Source organism: Homo sapiens, chromosome 10 (genome assembly GCF_000001405.40).
Source record: "Homo sapiens chromosome 10, GRCh38.p14 Primary Assembly".
Lineage (NCBI taxonomy): Eukaryota > Metazoa > Chordata > Mammalia > Primates > Hominidae > Homo > Homo sapiens.
Genome location: NC_000010.11, coordinates 85,935,163 through 85,957,465, shown reverse-complemented (window position 1 = coordinate 85,957,465; position 22,303 = coordinate 85,935,163). Strand labels below are relative to the sequence as shown.

The 22,303-nt window shown below is 41.3% G+C and overlaps 1 protein-coding gene across 1 annotated transcript in view, besides 1 other annotated feature; it reads left to right on the top strand.

Moving 5' to 3' along the window:
- The window catches only part of GRID1 (glutamate ionotropic receptor delta type subunit 1), a 767,244-nt gene that overhangs the window by 409,330 nt on the left and 335,611 nt on the right, over window positions 1–22,303 (top strand). The window lies entirely within an intron of this gene.
- Window positions 10,264–10,603: an enhancer, noted in NCBI's record as "active region_3682". NCBI's record gives its function as "activates an Ori minimal core promoter by ATAC-STARR-seq in GM12878 lymphoblastoid cells {active_cell/tissue: GM12878}" and the evidence as "EXISTENCE:reporter gene assay evidence [ECO:0000049][PMID:35858748]".

The following is a 22,303-nucleotide window of genomic DNA, read 5'->3' as shown; positions in this document are numbered from 1 at the left end:
GCCTAATACAACCGGGGGGAACACCAAGACCTAACCTGGCCACTTAAATGCTTTCTCGTGGGGCTCTAAAAATTTGAGGACCAAAGACCTGGCTGGAAATCATTCATGGGGTGTGTGAGGCTGGAGGATACTCTGGCCACACCATTTCTACTCTAAAGTTATTTTTGTAGTTTGTTCTCCAAACCCCTGGAGCTGCCTCACATCCCAGCTTCATCCTATAGCTTTGGCAGTGTGATATGGTCTGGCTCTGTGTCCTTACCCAAATCTCATCTTGAATTGTAATCCGAATTGTAATCCCCACGTGTTGGGGGAGGGACCTCGTGGGAGGTGATTAGATCATGGGGGCGGTTCCTCCATGCTGTTCTCGTGATAATGAGTGAGTTCTCAAGAGATCTGTTGGTTTTATAAGGGGCTTTTCCCTGCTTCGCTCAGCACTTCTCTCTCCTGCCACCATGTGAAGAAGGATGTGTTTGCTTCCCCTTCCACCATGATTGTTTCCTGAGGCCTTCCCAGCCATGTGGAACTGTGAGTCAATTAAACCTCTTTCCTTTATAAATTACCCTGTCTTCATAGCAACCTGAAAACGAACTGATACACAGTGATTCTGTGAGTTGCCAGATTCCTTCCAACAGTTCCCCAACTTTAATTAGAATCAATTTCTGTTGCTTGCACTAAAGAGCCCAGTGGTTCTTGCTGGATCCATTTCAAATTGACGCTTCCCATGCCTACTCTGTTCTGCACTCCTAAATGGGAGAAAGGGCATTTTCCATTAATCTCAATGAGGCTTTTTTGATTAGAGTTTGCAAAGTGCTGGGATGTGAAGGGGCTTTCCTTGTGCTACCACTGAATGTTTGGGTAGCTTAGAGTAATCAGACCACATGCATGAGCCCAAACCAGGCCAAGATGGTCCCTTGTGGTCAAAACCGCACTTAATCCCCACCTGCCCCATTTGAAAAGAGAAATCCTGAGCATCTATTTTAAACTTTTTAAAGATATGACGTTTATGTAACTCACCTCTTTGAAGTTGGAAATATCCTCATAAACTTTGAAAGGAATGAGCATTGGCAGCTTATAAGTTTCCAGAAGAGAGTGCTGGGGAGGTTGGGCTAGCAGAAGCTTGCTGGAATAGGAAGGGTTGAGAAAGGGAGTTGGCACAGCCAATTAGAGATTCAAGTGGTCAAGGTGCCCAGGTGTAAGGAACTTACACCTGGAGTGCAGGACTTGCACAGCAGGTGCAAACCGTTTGACACCATGGCTTACAGTCTGACTCAGGAAATGATTTGGGTTAAAATTAAAATAAGAATAAATATTTGGAAAACAAGATATGAGTATAATGAGTGCTGAAAGAAAGAGGCTGCCCAGTGAGGCTGCCCAGGGGCTTGGACATTGCATGCCCTGAGTAACCACATCAGGACTATGGCCATCCACTTTGAGGGCCTCGAATCAATTTTGCCAGGGAGCCTGGAGGTGACTCGAGTGGGTCAAGCTCATGAGAAATTACTGTGAATGTCACATCCTAATTTCCTTATCAAATTGAGAAAGAGAAAGGGCTGAGGGGAGCACAATGGCCAGCTCCCCTCTGGTGGAGGCTGAGCTGGAGAAGCCTCAGGGGTCAGAAGGGGAAGAGTCCCACTCTAGGACTGTGGGCATAGGTCAGCTGCACTGTCCACTGTGACTGTGGCAGACAGGGGCAAAGCGTGGGCTTGTAGGGAGCTCAGGAAAGGTGCTGACTGACTGTCTGATGACTAAATGAATCATGGAGAAAGGACAGCCTGGAGTCTCCACTTGCTCTGTCGAAAGAGACCTTTCTGACCCATTGAACCCTGTCAGTTGCTAGTTGTTTCTTATCCCAGGCACAGCTGGAGGCCTGGAAGCACTTTCCCTTCAACATGCCCTACATCTTTGAATAGGATAGTACCCCTAATGAGGCTGAATTCATGTTCTCAGGTCCTGCTGTTTCTGCTTTGACTACAGAGACCCTCCTAGGTAGGGGACCGGGCAGAGGCCAGCTGGACCCTCTACCACTGATTCCACCCATTTTACTCCCAGAGGAGGCCATTGCGTCCAGGTTCTTGGCACTTCCATAAGTTGTCTCGCATGCTGGAGGCTGGCTATCCTGATGCAGGTTCTGAGGGGCCTCTTGGTGTCTCCATATGTTGTTTAATCATGGCTACAGGTTCGCCATCTTGATGCTGACCCTAAGGGCTGGGACTCTGGAGCAAGGGCAGAAAAGCTTCTTTGTCTCAGTTTCTACTGAGTGAGTAAGTTCTTCCCTGCACCATCCAAGGGACAGGGAGATGGAGTCTTTCCTTCAGGCCCTGGAATCTCATTCCCAGAAGCTGGGAGTCACCCAGGGGGAATCCGGTGGTTCTCATAACTCCATGCTGCACCTGCTCTACCCAGCATTGGGAAGAGTCTTAGTCAATGGCATGTTTTTTGTATTTTTGTATTTTTTGTATACTTGTACCTGTAGACTCCAATCCTTTAGACCTATTTCAAAGTATGTACTAGAAAAGGAGAAAAAACACAAGTTCAACAAGTGTCTGCAGTGGGTTTGACATTTTATATCCATGATCTCATTTAAATTTCACAACACCGTGGGGAACTGAACTATGGCTCGGAGGGATTAAGTGACTTCTTCTAGATCACAAGATTAGTAAATGTTTGAGTTCACACTACTTCAACACTTATTAGTGTAATTTACTGCCTTGATCTGTATTTTGGGGGTTTAGCACAGTTCTGCCAGTTCGGAAGGACCTGGGAGGCTGTATAAGGACAAGTATTGCCTGATTTTGCTATTTTATGCTTATGCTAGAGTACACTGCTTATGAGGAACCATATGATACAGTAATGTTGTCAAATTTAGTGGCAGCTTCCTTACATATATCAAGGGCCATCTATCTTTGGCCCTTTTATAATGATTCCTTTTATAATAAAGAAAGTATAAAGGCTTTTTTTGGTTGCCTGGAGTGCTGATAAAAGGAACATTAGTATTTCCTATATTTGTGACTTAGGCTTTCATGTAGACTTAATTTCTGAAGATTTCCTATTGCTGCCAGTTACTCTCAGTCCATTAAATAGTTAGGACATAGGATAAAGAGAGACAATGTTTAGAGTAACTTGGCATGCTTGCTGGATACAATAATTGGAAGTCATTGATTTATAGTAGAAGTGATGGTAAACCTCTTTCTGTTAGATTTCATATTTAATTGAACATCCTCTATTGCCATCCTCCTGTCCTGAGTGCTATCCAGGTACTATCTTCATTAATGGCATTTCATGATGTTGTTTTCTGGGACCAGAACTTCCTACTGGCTCCCCTTCTTTCCACCATTTTATGTTTGTTAATTTCAAGGCAGTTTCAGACACTCCTGTAAATTGTTAAACAGTAATAGACTCCCCTCCTCTCATTTGACTTGATTATGAAGTGCCAAATTCCAAGTTCAGAAGGATTTGTTATTTGGAGATTATTTTGCCCTCTTTTGTAAATTAATTTCCTTTCCTGCTAAGACAGCCAAAGAACTGCAATGATTTTCTACCACAGAGAGGTAATGAGGCTTAGGGGAAAAAGCTTAATAGGAAAACATTGTCCCACACTAAGAATTAGGAACTCAGGGCAGAGAAGAAGAAGATGAATATTAAAACCAGACAGTGTGATATTTCTGTGTGAGGGTTTCTGTGAAAGTGTGCATGAATTGTTCTGGGGAGGAATTATGCCTGTACCTTCATGCACATCAGAGACTACCTATACAGAGAGACTGTGAAATGGTTAAGCACTTAACGCCTCATAGGCTGAAGCAGCAGAGAGGGGTTTGCAATTGAGTGTGATGTTGGGAGGCCAGGAATATTATAGAGTCCACAGATTCTGCAAAGTGGAGAAGGCTTTTTTAGTTATACATAGTCTGGAAGTTTCTTCTCACAAAATATCCTAGCAATTACAGTTGACCTTTGAACAATGTTGAAGTTAGGGGTGCTGACTCCCTACATAGTCAAAAATTTACATATAACTTTTGTTGTTCAGATTATTTCATCACTCAGGTATTAAGCCTAGTACCCATTAGTTATTTTTCCTGATCCTCTCCCTGCCCTACCTTCCACCCTCTAATAGGCCCCAGTGTGTGTTGTTCCCTTCTATGTGTTCTCATTATTTAGCTCCCACTTATAAGTAAGAACATGCAGTATTTGGTTTTCTGTTCCTGCATCAGTTTGCTAAGAATAATGGCCTCCAGCTCCACCCATGTCCCTGCAAAGGACATGATCTCATTCTTTTTTATAGCTGCATAGTATTCCATGGTGCATATGTACCACCATGGAATACTATGCAGACATATAACTTTTGACTTCCCTAAAATTTAACTATGAATAGGTTACTGTTGATAAGAAACCTTACTGATAATATAAAAAATTAACACATACTGTGTTTGTTATACATATTATGTATTATACTCTTACAATAGAGAAAAGAAAATGCTATTGATAAAATTATAAGAAAAAAATATAGTTACTATTCATTAAGTGGAAATAATCATCATAAATGTTTTTACCCTTGTTGTCTTCACATTGAGTAGCTGAGGAAGAGGAAGAAGAAGAGGGGCTGGTCTTGCTCTCTAGGGGTGGAAGAGGCAGAAGAAAATCTGAGTGTAAATGAATTCATGCAGTTTAAACCCATGTGATTAAAGGATCAACTGTGTACAGTTCTCCCAAGATAATAGCCTAGATCATTGGTTTGGAGGGGGGGATCATACCAGAGAGAACCCATGAAATAGAGATGTTGTTCAATTTGCAAGGCCCTGTTTTGTTTCTTTTTCTTTATTTTTTCTCTCTTTTCCTCTTGTGGCAGAAGGCTTTCTTTGGGGAGTGAGCCAAGCCTTGAAGAAAAAAAAACACAAACACAAAAAATCTCCTTAAAAAATGGGTTTGTTGCAGATCCCACACTTAAACCTGAAGGCATTGCAGTAATATTGCAATTGATATCAAAGTGCCTGTTTCATCACAGATGAGTTGAGGAGTTTGGGAAACACTGAAGAGGATTAATAAAAGAATAATTTCTAAAACATGGCATTGCTAATTTTTTCATGTCTAGCTTTTCCTCTGGATGGATCTTAAAAGCAAAACAAACAAAACCAGGCTATTTTTGGTTGTTCTATGAATTGTTTTGAAGATTTAGCCTGTTCTAGGAGTTTGCTTCCTCATGCTGTTTTCAGGTTGATGTCGTAACATGTGCCCCTCTTTGTTTACTGAAAATTATTAACTCTGTTCAATTGCTCTGTTGTGTCTTTATTCTTGCATTTCCTTCCTGTTTGTTTCTTAGAGGATGCCATTCCCATGTAGGCACTGTGCTATAAGAGACAGAAAGGAGAATCGACGTAAGTCTTGTTTTTGAAAGGTTTGTTTGGGAAGATGGAATGTTTAGTGCTTCGGATAGTGTTCCTTAGAAGCAGGGCCTGACATGGAGATTTGTGAGCACTTTATTTATTGAGAAAGGGAGATGCTCATAAAGGAGTTAGGGAGATGGGATGGAGGATGGTATGGACCTACTCAGGCAAGGCGTCGGCCTCACCCCCAGGAACACAGGTGATGCTGCAGAGTGTCCTATGGGCTTTTGTTCTCCAGCAGCATTGGCCATGGGGTGGCAACAGGGCCCTGTGGGCACCTCTGGGCTTTGATTACTCCAGGGAAGGTTGTGAACGTGAGCCTTTAGCCAGCACCTGCGGGCCCTGGGGCAGGGCCAGCGAAAGGGATCCTGGGGTGTGTCTGGGTGGGCACCAGCAATGTCTGCTGCAGTTGTGTACATAAATTGCCTTAGATAAAGGTAGAAAATAAGACATGTTACTAGAAGTTTGAGATAATGTGCAATGAAACTTCATAAGGCATAGAGGGTGGCTTGACCTGGGAGCATCTGGGAAGACTGCATGGGAGAACCAGCATACGAAATGAACCTGGAGAGATTTGAGCTTTTTGATCATGAGTAGGGAAGTGTGTTTTGGTTGTATGTGAAAGAAACCCCAATTAAACGTCTCCCACCTATACTCCAGGCCCAGCTAAAGCTAGTATAAGCAGAAATACAGAAATATAACATGTGAGCACACTTAATGGGGAGGTCTGAGGGTGCATGCTTAGAACTCCCTCTGCACACTGGTGCTGCTTGTCCTTTTATTTGCTCTGATTCCATCCCATCACATTCAATTATTAATTCAACAAACATGCATGTACTATATGCCAGACAAAAATCCCTTGCCCTCCTGGAGCCCAGAGTCTGGTTCTCATGGTAGGCAGGATGGTAACTGCCAGCCCCAGCCCAAGGAAGACAGTGACCTGGTTTGGTCTTGCTTGAGATGTTTCCATCCTGTGGGCTGGTCACTGTGAACAAGAGGATAGAAACATCCAATGACCGGGGATAGGAGTGGGATCTAGTGAGTGGTATCTAACCAGAGCCAGATGGAGTCCTGCAGGGGCCATTTCCCAATGGAATGGGGATGCCAGACAGGCTCCTAACTCCAGACGTCTCCCACATATACTCCAGGCCCAGGGTTCAAGTCAGATGATGGTACAGTATTACTCCTGGAAGGAGACTCTTGAATGATCAGTGACAGTGCTGTCAGAGCACAGGGCATTTGGAGAGGAGTGGTGCATATCCGGCTGGAACCTGATTTGAGAGGACTCTGAAGCTGTACCAGGACTGTAGCCTTTGTTCTGGGAGCCACAGAGGATGAAGGGGCTTGGTGTGCCAAGCGGGGTGTAGGAAGATCACTCTGGCAGGAAGTTTGTACGGGGCATAATGTTTGCTGGATTTGCGAACTGATTAAAATTAGAGGACAAATCAAAGGTGACTGCAAGGATGTGCTTCTACTTTTAAATATTTTGTTATCTTACAGGCCTTTTGAGATGTTCTCCCCCTCTGCTCCTTGACAAGACCATTGATCACAGTCTGGTCAGGCTTGGATTCTCAGAGCCTCCCTTATCTGTAGCTGTATCATTTTTAAAAGTCTTAGGACATGGAGTTACATCTTGCTTTTCTTTGGACATTTCACAGTCTCTTTGGCTAGAGTCTGGGATACATTTGTGATTACACTGAGCTGTACCCTCTCTGGCTAGCACGTGCTATTAAAATGACAGGACCACTTTCTCTCAATGTTCTTGCCACTCCATTTCCGGAACCATGTCTCTTTAGCTCCAGAATAGCGGCATTTCCTCCACTGCTTCTAAGTTGGCAAATTGTCACTCCAGGTGCACTGCTCTGGGCTTAATGGCTCTTCAGGCATATACTTTAGTTGAATGTAAACCTCCCATTGCCACTGTGTTTTGTCTGCTCCCTATTTCCATGAAAGTAAAAGGAAGGAATTTAAGTTCATTTAAGATCATTAATTTATAAAATTCCTAGCCTTGATGCTAGGCTTTGTTACCTACCAGGTATCTCTCTCTCTCTGTTATCTATCTATTTATCTATCTACCCATCCATTTATCATCCAGTCACCCATCTATCCATCCATCTACTCACCCATCCATCCAACTATCCATCCATGCATCCATCCATCCATCCATCCATCCATCCATCCATCCCTATAGTTCTCTCTCTCTCTTTTTATATGTATCTCTCTTTTCTCTGTCTCTCTCCCTATAGACACACACACAAGAAACACATAGATATCAGGGGAACAACTAGACATTTTTGCTAATTTTATTTTAGTCATTAATATAAGTGCATTTAATCCCGGCAATATATCTATAAAGTAGACATTATCTCTCAGTGATTATTCACTGAGTTTCAGGGAGGTTAAATAATGTGTTCAAAATTATAGTTAGTCTTTGGAGATGCCAGGATGGAAGCCTAGAAGGTTTGATGTAAAGATTGTGCTCATCAGAGCACAAACAATGTGGCAGCACCATCCATAATAGCAAAAACCTGGAAACACTGTAAATGAAAATCAATAGGTGTTTGGATAAATAATTGAATATTTATCCATAAAAAGAAATGCAATACCACTTCCCAAAAGAATGGATTAGGTCTACATACACAAAGAGTGAGAAAATGTTCATGATGTATTGTTTTATGACAAAAAGAAGCAAATTATACAATATTATGTACAATCTGATTTATTTCTGTTAAAGTTATATTCTTATATATGCATAGAAAGGGTCTGGAAGGATGCCCAAAAATATGCAGTTACCAGTGGTTACTTCTGGGAAATGAGATTGGGGAATAAAAAGGAATTTTCAACTAAAACTTTTTTGAAAATTTTGCAATTATTATTATTTTAATAACAGTTATTGTTGTTATAAAAATGTAAAAACCAATACAACACCCTGGTACAAAAGGCTATCTGCTGCCCTTCCCCTCCCGCACCCCACACCTGTCAGAGTACCCTCCTGGGAGAAGCACGTCTTCTGTTCCCATAGAAAGTGCTTCCTTTGTCCTCTCCACCCAAATTTAAGCATCATGTCCAGACGGTTTCTCTCCTCTCCAGTTTGTGTATTCCTGTGTGGGCTTAAAGTGTATTTTTCTGTTCATGTTCCTGATTATAAAGTTAATACTTAATAATAAAAACATCAATTCAGACAACAATGAAATATCGTATTACCTTTCAGAATGGTCAAGATTTTTGGAAGCAGTTTACATATATTTATTTTTTCCTTAAAGCACATGTTTTTATTAAAATTTGAAAATACTGTATATACTTAGAAGCATTCAGAATGTCAAAAAAACAGGATCTTTTTTCTTGCAATTATAAGCTGGTATTAAGTTCATAGAAGAGTTAATACAAGTTGCATCAAAAACAAAACTACTACTCCAAATATAGTTTGTGTTATATGTGACCTGCTTTAAATTTCTGTGTCAATTTACAGCCCCATACTGTAAGATACAAAGTCAGTGTCTATTGCAAATACCTCTAAAAGATAGGTTCATAATGTTTTAATCTTAATACTAGGCTTACTACACAAAAATTATCTACACATCCTTATTATTTCAATTTTTAAAAAACCAAGTGAGATGTGTGTAGGGCAGTTAATTCCTTCAGAGAAGAGAACATCTTCTAAGTTGGGAAATTGTCACTCCAGGTGACAATGCAGCTTCCCAAAAGGACTACCTAATTCCTCAACTCCATCCTCAACCACTTCATCCTCATCTTCCTCTTCCTTGGACTAGATGTTTTATCCTTGGCAAGTATCTCTGTTTTTTAAAAATAAACTTTTCACTTGGAATAATTTTAGATGATTAAACAATGGACAGAGAGTTCTTATCTATCCCCTTACTCAGTTTCCCTTGATGTTGATTATCTCATCTAATCAAATCCTACATTGCCATGGTACATTTGTCAAAACGAAGACACTGACAATGGTACATTACTATTTAAACCCAAGACTTTATTTGAATTTCACTAGTTTTTCTACTAATGTCCCTTTTCTGCTCTCAGTTCTAGTCTAAGATACCACATTGCTTTTAGGACAACTTCTTTTTCTCCTATGGTAGGCTTTAACCTGGCAAAGCAATACCATTTTCAAAAATTTCCTCAGCTTGGTAGGCTTATTGTAAGGTTGCTTATCACCTGCAGTGTTATTCAACATTCTCCTAATTCTTTTGCAACATATCCAAGATGCTCTCCTTTGATTTCTGGGGATAGACCGAACAAAATAAGAACAAGGTCGAAGGAGGCTATTGAGTGTATTGGGACGTCTGACCCTCTTTCTTTCCCCTTCAGAAGGAAATAAGGCTTTCATAGCGTGGCTTTATGCTTTTGCCACTTCTTCAGCATCCTCTCTTCTCAGCAGATTTGGTGGTCTTCTTTACGAAGCATTTTTTAGAAAATTCTGTGAAGTTGACTGAAGCATCAGGTGCTGCTTCTTGTGTGCCTTTCTCTGGCACAGCATCCTGCAGAGTCACGACACTCTCCATGGACGTGCACTTGTGGGTCTGTGGTGACCACAGTGCCCCTGGGACAATGACTGGGTCTTCTAGGGGAATCTGTAGCCATAGCTTCATTCCCAAAACTGGCTGCCTTGCTCATACGTGCTCTACATACATATTTTTAAATTATATTTTATCTGAGATACGAAAGTTATCCATGGCCATTATAATAAGAAAAACAGTTCAAAGATGTGTAAAGCAGTATTCTCCCCACCCCACACCACCTCCAGTCCCAGGCTCCGTGTTCACAGCTTGGAGTGTATCCTTGCACAGCTCTGTGTGGGTAACAAGGTACCAATGCATGTGGTGGGTACTTACCTCAAACCACAAATTCAGAAGTGGAAACAACACAGCCTTTTTTGACTGCAGCGGAACTTAATTTTCATTTTGCACTTCCCCTTCTGTGTGGGGGCAGAGAATGCAGCCACGGCCATGCTGTGTTTCCCCTGTCCCCTTCTCCTGGAGGAGCCTCTCTGATTTGGCAGTGAGAATAATGGTGCGGGTGGACAGTGCTGGTGGGGACTGCCCTGGTTCATTGTCATCACTGTCGCGCCTCTTCTGAGCCATACACTGTTCCTTCTGGACTTGCTGTTGTCTCTCTTGCTGTGTTTGCCAAGTCATCCACATTTCCGCATTGTGAGCCATTGGAGCTTATGACTGTGTGCTTCTCATATTCACCTACTATTGGCCTGTCCCTGACTCTCAGGTCACCAGGCAGCTCCACAGGCCACACTGGGGAGTGTGGGTGGGGTTCTGGGAGGCCCCTTATGTCTACCTTCCTGGATGCTTGAGAACACTGGGCTTGTTGGCATCACAGTGCAAAATGAAACTGAAGACAATTTCTCAGAGCCGCCCAAGACTGACCTGGGGATTCTTCCCCCCGCAATCCCCGGGGCTGGCCTTGGCCCTGGGAGCAGGGACAGCATCCCTTTCCAAGCCCCCACTGGACTCTGTTACTCAAGTCTCTCATGTCATCTCTTTTTGCCTGAGCATTTTTCTCTCTTCATGGCATCAAAAGTATTTTCCCGAATAAATTATTTAGAGCAGTGATTTCCAAAGTGGGTTACACAATTGATTCCTTGGTGTGTCAAAGAAAATTATTAGAACTTCTGTTTCTAATTTTTAAGTCAAAAAGCAAAGGAGTGAAGCTTCCTAATATTTAACACGAGTTGACACTTGGGTCGAATGGAGTGGACACTGAGCAGGGTTCAGAGCAGTGACCTTACCTGGCTGCTTGTCTTCTCAGGGCATTGAGCACAACCTATTTAATCTGCCATGAGATACCATTAGCTGATTACTTTTTAAAACACAAGACCTTTCAATGGCAGACTCTTTATAGTACCTTGTAATGAAATGGGGAGAAAATTTTGAAATCTTTTGTACTACCCAGAGCTTCACTGGTGATCTTTTGGCAAAGTGCTTAAAAGTCTGGGACTTGATGCTAAGACATTTTTCTCTCATTAAAAAACAAACTTTGAGGATTGCTGACCCTATTTGTAATAATGAGATAATGTCAATTGAATGCTACCTGGCAGATACTCTTCTAAAAATTAAACATATTTTATCTGTCCCTTCAATGTTTTAACAATTCATAAGAAAGTAATTGCTTTTTGAAGTAAATTCTTGGTTCAAGAGAGCATTTTGAAAATGAATGGTCGGAAATATTTCCAGTATTTTTAATTGTTGTTGCTGAAAACCATATGTGTCACTCATAAATAATAATTTAAAGCCCTTATATCTGCTTACTAGAAAACAAACCTTGGAAACAGAATTTTCTAATCCGTATATAAAAAACTTCCACAGTGAAGTATCTCAGGATGTTTTGAAAGTGCTTATGAAAACTATGAAAATTTTATCATCCTAAAAACCTGGGAAACAGAATTTTCTAGCCCATGTGTAGGAACTTTTCAGAGTGAAGGGTTTCAATGTGCTTTGAAATGACTTTCTAAAAACATGAAATTTTAGTGTGTTTGAAGTATCTGGGAAGATGGAAATGTATTAGTCAACTTTTTGACAAATTCTGTTTGCTAAGATTGAGGAAGCAATACCCCAAAGAACTTCTTCAGTTTGGACATATGGAAATCTGACAGATACCACTTTCAGCTACAGTACAGTACCCATTAAAATCAAGTATTGAAATAAATGGAAACTGGAAGCAGGCTTTGAATTACTGTATTACAAAGGGTTAAACCAAGATTTAAAAAAAATTAAAGCATTTTCAATTACATTGCTGGACTTAAATTGTTTATAATGGAGCATATATGTTTTTAATTATACCAAAAAGATTTTGTACTATTAATCACAGTAAATCATAACTTATTAAAATCATTTATTTCTTCTTTTGGATCTTTTCGTATTATATATTCTAATATGTTTTATAATCTATAGTAATTCATGTGCATAATTTTTAAATACCTAAGTATACACATAACGGAGCACCTGCTTCAAAGGTTTTGCTGATAGGTGTTCATGGTTAGGATGCTTGGCAGTCATAGTTTGGATGAGGACCTCAGCATTTGAAACTCAAAGCCATGAGTTAACCTTTATTTCTATAGTCTGCTGGGGTACCCATTATTTCCATGTCTTTAGGAGGGCCACTGTATAAAAGAAATTAGTAAAATGAAAACATGTCAGTATTATAATATTCTGCAAAAACGCATATAACTATATCATCGTTTTTATTTTAGAAAAAATGGAATTGTACTATATCCGTTACGTTGTAACTTACTTAAAAAAAAAACTCTACAGTAAATCACATTCATCTTTCCAAATTAGTAAATGTAAGTCTAATTTACTCCTTTAGTATTTATCTAGTGACCCATAATATGCACATGCTACATTTTACTAAGCATTTTCCTATTGAGAGATATACATGTTTGCCCCAGGTTTTCTCTTCCATTCTTTTCTTTCTCACTACCTCCCTCCGTTCCTTTCTTTGATGATTCCTCCTCCCCCAATACAGCCAATATGCCAATAAATATCCTTATACATTTTTTACTGCTGTAAGATAAATTTCTCAAAGTCGAACTCTAGGGTCAAAGGCTATATGTATTTTCAGTTTTAATAGCTATTGTCACATTACTTTTCAGATATGTTTGCAGCAATTTTCACTCAGCAATGACTAGAAATATTATTTCTTTCCATCCTTGCTGAACTGAAATTATTATTTTTCTTCATTTTTGTCAATTCGAGGGGTTAAAAATAATACCATGCTTAAATTTGCTGCTTGTGAGCTTGAGCACATTTTTATTTGTTTATTAGCTATTTTTGTTCGCTTTTGCTGCATAACAAATCACCCCAAACCTTAGTGGCCTAAAGCAACAACCATTTATTTTAGCTCACAATTCTGTGGGCCACCAGTTTGGGCTGGGCTCAGCCGGGAAGTTCTGTTACTGGTCTTGGCTTAGCTCCTTCACAGATCTGTGGTCAGCTACTGGTCAGTTAGGTGGCCCTGTGGTTGCCAGTTGGGTGGCTGTTGGCTAGGGCAATGGAGGCCAGTGGGCCATGTGTGTCTCATAATCCACCAGGCTAGACAGAGACTGTTCACAGGCTACTGTGGCAGGATTCCTCAGAGCAGCAAGATAGGACAAGCCCCAGTGCTGAGAACTTTTAAAGTCTCTGCTCAGGTTATGTTTGTTCATTTCCCATTGGCCAAAAAAGTCACACAGCCAATCCAGACTCCGGGCTTGGGGAAGTAGATATCTCTCCTGATGGGAGGGAGAATCGTGTGGCCATTGTTTGCGATCTATCACATTAGCCTTTTCAATTTCTTTTTCTCTGCATTGCTTTTGCAATCCTTTGCCCCATTCTCCTTTATTTTCTTATTAATACTAAAGGAGCTCTTTATTTACTGATATTAACCACTTGCTTGGCATGTATAGTTGACCCTTGAACAGCATGAGTTTGAACTACATAGGTTGACTTTTCATAGAGGTGGGCTCTGCAGGGCCAGCTGTGATTTTAAGTGTGCCTGGATTTTGGTATAGGTGGGGGTAGATTCAATCCCCAAGTATAGCAAGGGACAGTACATTGCAAATATTTTCTCTAATCTTTCATTTATCTTTTTGCTTTATGGTATTTTTCACTATATTAAAGATGATCTGGCTTAAGAAATTCTTCCTAGTTCCATGGTGAGGTAATGCTTATGTTTCTGGTATTTTTTTCCCTCCCAGTATAGATATTTTATTATTTCCATTTAGAGCTTTAATCTGTTTGGCATATAGTTTTAAAAAATATGGCATATATTTTATATATCTTTGATTTATTCCAGCATTCTTTATTAAATTTCCTTATTAAATAATCATTTTCCCTCACAGAACTCAAATGTTATTTCTGTAAAGTTCCCATATATAATTTTTTGGTAGGGGGCTATTTGGCAATATCCTTTGACATAACAATTTTTCCTCTAGGAATTTATCTGCCAGAAATAGTTTATCAAGTGAGCAAGAGATATGCACAAGAATGTTCATTGAAGCATTAAATATTGAAAAATTGGAAGCAACTCTATTTTTGAAACAAATGATTAGATATCAAAATGGAATAATAGAATAGTTTTCAACTATTGCAAAGAATTTATTAGCCCAATAACTCAAAGGCATATTTTTCAGTGGTGATAAGAATATTGTAGAAAGTATGTATGATATGCTTCTACTGTCATACTATTACTAAGCTGTGTATCTTTATTTCACACAACCAAAGACATGTGTAGTATTTAATAGTTTTGAATATGAACAGCTGCTCTTTTCTCTTCTTTCTATGCCTCACTTCCTCTCCTCTCCCAGTATTCAGGCAACACATAGGACCACAGGACAAAAGTTAATTTCAGCTTTGGAATTTCAAAATAGACTTTTGTAATCTATAATAGAGACATTGATTTGAGGAGAAGGCTTGCATAGTCTCCATTCCAAGGCAGAGATAAAGGACCCCTGGCATCAGGTTTATGTCTTAAACCTTGAACACGAACACCGAGGCTCACTGTCCGCCAGGTCCATGCAAAAGAGATAAAGATTACAGTAGCTGCAGGAAGGAGAGGAAGCTGGGTGGAGAATCTGAGTGTTCTCATTTAAGTTTTGGATGGGTATCTGTGAAGTGATCTTTAGGGTGGGGATCCCCCTAGTGTGGGGAAGGAAGGTCTGGATCACAGGCCCCAGACAGTTGGAGACATAAGAGTCAGAGACCCCTCTGAACTCTGTGAAGGTGGAGACCCCCACCAACATCCTCTGAACCAGGTATAGGCAGCATCAGAAGATTAGAAATTGGCAGGGTGGGGGTAGGAGGCAGGTCTAGACAGAGAAAGCCTGTGAGTGCCCCTCCCAGGGGAGCACAGGATAGCATCTGGAAGCTTTCCACGTGTCCCCTTGAGGGGGACTTTGAGAAACTGAGGACCCAAGTCTCTTGGACCAGAAGAAGGCTCACAGCTGAGAAAGGGGTGCCCCAGTGTGTTTGGCTTGGGTTGATCAGTACATTTGAGAAACTTGGATATCTAAGAGTCCATTAGTTGGGATAGATCCTGAAGACGGAGGGCAGGGGAAAAGTATATCTAGGTTCAAGCTAGCATGGAAAGATGACCCCTCCAGTGCCCCACTGCACACTTCAGCACCGTGTAAGCTCCCTAGGATGAAGATGCAATTCCAGGGAGAAGTAGGAGACAGGAGGCAGTTAAAGCCACAGGGAAAACTCTTATTTGTCTGGGAGCATTCTTATTTGCCTGATCTCACTTTCCATTGCTTAAAATTACGTTTCTGCCACTAAGTGGAATGGGGCTTGGGATAGAAATAAAATTCAATCACAAAAAACTAAAGATGCCCTCTTTTGCACACCTCCTGAATTTGTGACCTGTGAAATTCATGCCTTGTGCATATATATTTAGATAGGCACAGAAAAACATCTGGAAGAATTCATAACAAGCTGTTCCCAGTGGTAACAAAGTTTAATTTCCTACACTGAACATGGATCACTTTTGCAATAAAAATGCAAATCTAGAAAAATATTTCAAAGTATGTCATGTTCATTGTAGGCAATTTGGAAAATATAAAAAGTACATTTAAAAATTAAATCATCTGAATTCCCACCATGTAGATATAACCATCGTTAATAGTTTTATTTATTTTCTTTCATCTGTCTATGCATATATGTTCACAGCATATAGATATGCATATATTCAACATGTATATATTCTTTTTACAGAACTAGAGTTATGTGGTTTTTGTGTGTCATCCTATATTTTTTTCTTTTAATGCTGTTAATGAGCATTTTCCCATGCTATTAAACATTCTTCAAAAATGCACTTTAAAAGGTTCAGGCTCTGTGAGGTATAGACTATAATTTCTAAATACAGATGAGAAAACGAGGGTCAGAAAGGTTAAATAACTTACCCAAGGACACCCAGCTGGCATATAGTGCAGCCAGGATTTGAACCTATATCTTCCTGATTATGAAGACCAACCCTCCTAAGGTGGGAAGAATAAATGAATACACATCACACATCACAGATTGATGAAAAGCACCTGATATATGTGGGTCCTTAATACATACAATTCTTCTCCAGTCTCCCCATCCTGTGATCTGGCCTTCCCCAAGCAGAATGGTTCTTATATTGGTAGTCAGTCTTGGTTTATAGCAACCCTTCTGAGGAAGCTCTTGGAGCTTGAGCGGCTGCTTTGGCACCCTGAGCCCCTGCCTCGGTCTCTTCTCCTCTCCAAGGTTCTGGCTGATGCTTTCTTCAGCCAGGGTCTGGCTCTGCCTCTTTGTGTTTCCCATGCCACTGAACCCAGTTGTCCCCATGGGTCAACAGTGCTTTTGTCCAGGCCATCCAGAAGTTTAACAGAACCTCCACAGAAGACAAGATTTAAACATTGCAGGCAGTCAAAGTTCTCCCTGCACCCTTTAAATTTAAAGCAATCCATTGGATGAGTTATTATGGAAGCAGTAACTGGGTTTTGGTTGGGAGAAGCCTAGGGTCTATAAAATTCAGATAAATCATTCCATAGATATATTTCCAGAGCTGTAAGTCACCCAGACATCGATAGAAACGGATGTTTCTCCAATTTCTTTTTCAGAAGCCACATCAGTGTGTGCACCCTGGAATCTGCATTTATTATTCATCCCAATAGCTTTGGAGAGGGTTGCCAGCAGCTCTGGGGGTCTGCATATGATATCACTACTCTCAGCTCAGCTTCCTAAGAGCAGAGCTGAAGCTAAGTGAGATGGGCCCTCCTTTGAAGATTCACTACACATGGGTTAGAAACTCAGCTGCCTCTGTGGGCCAGACAGAGAAGGTAAATAAGAGCAGAGTGTTGGAAAAAACAAGAGAGTCTTGGGGACTGAACCAACTGGAGAGGCATGTCCCATCAAAAGGCATTCACATTCAGTTAAGAAACTACTATGATAATTCCTCTGACAGTTTGCTACTACATCTAAGAGTTGTGGCAGGCAGAACAATGCCCCCTGCCCACAGCTGTCTCTCTCTCTCTCTTTTTTTTTTTTTTTTTTTTTTGAGAGGGAGTCTCACTGTGTCGCCCAGGCTGCAGTGCAGTGGTGCAATCTCTGCTCACTGCAACCTCCGCCTCCCAGGTTCAAGCGATTCTCCTGCTTCAGCCTCCCAAGTAGCCAGGATTACAGGTGTGCACCACCATGCCCAGCTAATTTTTTGTATTTTTAGTAGAGATGGGATTTCACCATGTTGGCCAGGCTGGTCTCGAACTCCTGACCTCAGGTGATTCTCCCACTTTGGCCTCCCAAAGTGCTGGGATTATAGGCATGAACCACCACACTCAGCCTGTCTCTGTCTTAACTCTTGGAACCAATGAATATGTTATGTTACAGGACGAAAGAAAATTAAGGTTGCAGATGGAATTACTGTTGCTAATCAGCTGACCTTAAACAGGGAACTTATTTGGGTTATCCAGGTGGGCGCAATGGAATCACAAGTGACTGTGAAAGTGGGAGAGGGAGACAAAGAGTCAGAGGAAGACATGACTCCCCAAGAAAGGCCCAGAAAGACGTGTTGCTGCTGATTGTGAAGATGGAGGAAGGGGCCAAGGAATGAGAGTGGCTTCTAGAAGTTGGAAAGGGCAAAGAAGCACACTCTATCCTAGGGCCTCTAGACAGGAACGCAGCCCTGTCAACACCTTGATTTTAGCTTAGTGAGACATCTACTCTACCAAACTTTGTAGGTTTTTGCTAAATCACTAAACTTTGTGTGCTTAGTCACTAAACTTGTGGTAATTTATGGCAGCATCAATAAAGAGCTAATACAGGTTGTATCCTGTCTATAAGCTAATAAGAAAGCAATCTCTGTTGGATCATGGGGCCCAGTAAGACCTACTTGGGTAGGGAGAGGTGGGGAAGCATAGACTTGACCTTGACCTCCTTGTTGAACTCAGGTTGGAGGAATCAGGGGTCCCCCGGAGGCAGTCCAGGTAGGCTGGCAGAGAGGCTGTCCTACAGACCAGGCACCAGGCGGCCTGGGACTGAGCAATGACCCACCTGCTGAGGGTTGGCCTCCAGGGACAACCATTTGACAAGGCTTGGTTTTCCAGGAGGCTACAAGTGTCAGCATCCGTTTACAAACTAATCAAACTTTGGCAGGTTTGAACAACTATGCTCAAATTTACTTGATTAATTTATTTTGAAGAAATTAACTTTAAAAAGGGATTTTACTTAATATACTTTCATGTGACTTTTTTCGGTTGAATATGAGAGATTGTTGTTGCTGGTATTATCAAGTTGTAATTTTTTAAAGCTTTCCAAATCACAGGTTAAATGACTACCTGCGATTACCCAGCTAGAGGCTGGCCAAATTAGCTTCTGGCCTGTTTCTAATCTATTGTTACTGGTGATGACCCATAGAGGACTGGGTTTTTAATTGGCCCCCAGAATACTGTTGATTAGAACTGGAGAGCCTTTTGTATATTTTCAGCATGTTTACTCACTATCCCTGAGGTCAAATCCTGGCTCGTTTGTATCGTGGCATTTTATGATGTCTCTGAGGCTCACTTTTCTCATTTGTAGAATAGGAACCATGAGAGAAACTACCCCATAGCGTTGTTGTGAGAGTTACGGGAGACAAGCCATGTAAAACTCTGAGCACACTGCCCAGCATATAGTAAGTGCTCAAATAAAAATATTGATTTATCTCATTGTTATTCTAATTTTGAAATATATAAGATGAAAAATTGGAGAACGTTGTATTGAAAGTCAGGGCAAGAGTAGAGGGTGGACTCTGACCCCATCCGAGCACTTAGATGCTGGTAATCCACTAGGGAGGAATGGCTGTGGCTGAACTTTTCCCTCAATATTGGGTCTTACTTATAGAAAATATGTCCAAGTATTTTTCTCCTTAATTCAGGTGGATTTTCCTGGAGAACTTGCCCTAGAGAGTTGGATTCTCCCATCCAGATTCCCCCTGGCAAGATCTTTGGGATCATAATTGGAAAGGAGGCATTCATACCTCTGGAAGAAACTCTGTTGGTTGATGGCTTTGTAGAATATATTAAGCTCAAAGGCTTGTCAAATTGAGACCAGATAGCTAATAAATCTGGGATGGAGAGTCTAGATGTTGATAGATCACATTGGCCTTATCTGAATGATGAATAAGTATGGGAAGAAGAAACTTCTTGATGTGAATATCTTTCTGATATTTAGTGTCAACTTTGTGTTGAACATTAAGCTAGCCCTGGTTTTCTCAACCTCGGCAGTGTTGGAATTCTGGGCTGGGCACTTCTTTGTGGTGGGGGCAGAACTGTGCATTGTACGATGTTTAGCAGCCTTCCTGACCTCTACCCATTTGATACCCTTGACCCCCTCACCTCAAGTTTTGACAACCCCAAATGTCCCCAGACATTGCCAAATGTTCCAGTGGGAGGAGGGCAGTGGAGGTAAAATTGCCCCTGGCTAAAAGCTATGGGGTTAGGCATTGGGGTTACAAAAATGAATCAAACTCAGCTCCTATCATCTAGAATCTTACAGTTTAAGAGGGGAGACCCTCAAGAGCAATGGGCTATGATAATATAGTCAGGTCAACCACAAGGTGAACTCTGAGCAGAACATAAGACTGAGATGAGACAGGGTAGGGCAGGTGATACCTTCAACACAGCTACTCGGCTGGATACAGAGAGAAATGGTCCTTTTCTGATGAACACAGGTGGGTATTTTGAATAACAGTTTTAGTTTTCTGATGCCCACCGGGGCCAGTCAGAAGGTGCTACCTTTTTCCCCTGCTGAAAATGGGCCCAGGCTGCTCTACATTTTGACCTCCTGCATCTGTGTTTCACGTTAGACTGGGAAGTTTTCACATCTTGTTGCACAGGCCATCTTTATCTTTAGCATCTTTGCTCTTCTTTAGAAGTACTAATGCTTGTCCAGGCCACACCCCAGACTAATTAAGCCAGAATTGTTGGGATGAGGCCTGGACACTGGGATTTTCTGAAGCTGCTCAGGTGAATCAGATGTGCAGGGTTGAAAACCACTGGTCTCATGTAAAGGAAAACAGCCTGGGTGAGGATTTGAGTGGAACAAACCAGGATATTGGCTGGTGGTGCCTCCAGAAGCTGCTCTCCAGGTCGGTCTGGGCTTGGTTCACATCAGTAAAATTGGGTAATGGCCACATCTAGGAAACAAAAGCATTATTTTAATTTATAAAATCAAATTCTATTGAGTTGAAAAACAAATGTGAATTAAAATTAACTTAATAACTGCTCTTTTAACTTAGTGCAAGAAGAGATTGTATTAATGGCATTCTAAAACTCACCGTCTCTTAGCCAAATACTTTTTAATTGAACATCAAAATAACTCAATAAAAATATTAAATGTCCACTTTTTCTGTCAAAATAGAGGCAAGTAAACAAGGGCAAAGGGATCCTTATGCCAAAAAACATAGGCTAAAGGAAGCTCTTAACATTGCCCTCTGCTCTGAGCTTCCCAGTAGGCAAGGCAACAAACAGAACTGGATAGAATGCATGACCCTCAATGCTTACTATAAGGAAGAATGCCAGTCCATTGGGAGTGAGGCTTCTATTTTTTCTCTTTTTCTTTTTTTTTTTTAGTTTGGTGCTTTTTTAGAAGGCATTTATCACATGAGTTTCTAGATAAGGGACATAGAACAACATAATGGATAGTGTCTTTGCTTGCAGTTTTACAAACAATGCAAATGCGATTCATGTGGCTGCCTCTTATATCAGCTCTGGCTGGAAGCCAAAGGCATAAACAGTGTGATATTCTAGTTTGGTGTGAATTTTTCCATGGAGAGCTGAAATGATATCATCCAGGCTTAGAGCTTCCCAGGGATTTGACTTGGCAGAGCTTAAAAGCCTTAGAAGAATTAAAATTTGGTGTTTCTTAGGCTGTCTTTCTAGCTAACTTCCATCTAATTTTTAAGATGTAGTTCAGCATCATCTGTTCCAAGAAACCTTCCCTGACTCCCTGAAGTTGAGTTAGGTATCCTAATATGTGGTCCCATAATATCCTGTGCACCCCACCCCTCCATAGAACCCCTACACCATTATACCTGTGTATGTGTCTGTGTTGCAGATGATGGACCCTGAAAGGTAGGCATGATATCAGTTATGTTTGTATTCCCAGCTCATACACTGGCTCTGGCACATAGTAGGTCCTCATAAATATTTATTAGGCATGCCAAAACTAGAGTAGTTCTTGGTATAAGGCAAGGTAGTGTGCAGAGAGTTTAGAGTCTTGGTTTTGGCACCAGATTGCCAGGTTGAAATTTAGGCCTTTACCACTATCTAGCTCTGTTACCTTGGACAAGTGAAAGAATTGCTCTGTGCCTCTGTTTACTCATCCGAAATACAGAGCTAACAACAGCACCTACCTCACAGAGTTGCTGAGGGGATTAAAGGAATTGACATATGAAGCATACTTAGTACAGTGCCTGGCATATAGAAATTGCTATGCAATTGGCTATGATGATTGGTGTTTTTGATGTCCCCATGGCTCTTTTGCCAGGGTGAATGTACAGAGGGGCTGAGCTGTGGTCCTGGCTGGGCCTGGCACACAGATACTTGTTATTCACTCGAAAGCAGCTCCCATGTCCCAGCTCTGAGGCATGTGGAGGGTCAGGCTGATACTCTGCGTGTATACTGGCCCTCCAGGCTGCCTCTGTTCGGAGGTTGGGCAACCTTATCCATCCTTCTCAGAGCTCCCTGTCCAGCCACACTGGGGTGATTTTGGGAGGATATTTGTAATCTTTAGGTCAGAACTCCATCTCTGAGGCTTTCTACCTTCTTCAGGTGACCTCTCACCCTGCCTCAGTTTCCCTTGGGAGGCAATTGAGGGGTCTTTGGCCACGAGCAGACTTGGGATCCTCTTCTGGCTCAGCCTCTTATTTTCTGTATGATCTTGGGTGAATAAGGAAACATCTCCAGCATCTGCTGTCTCATCTTT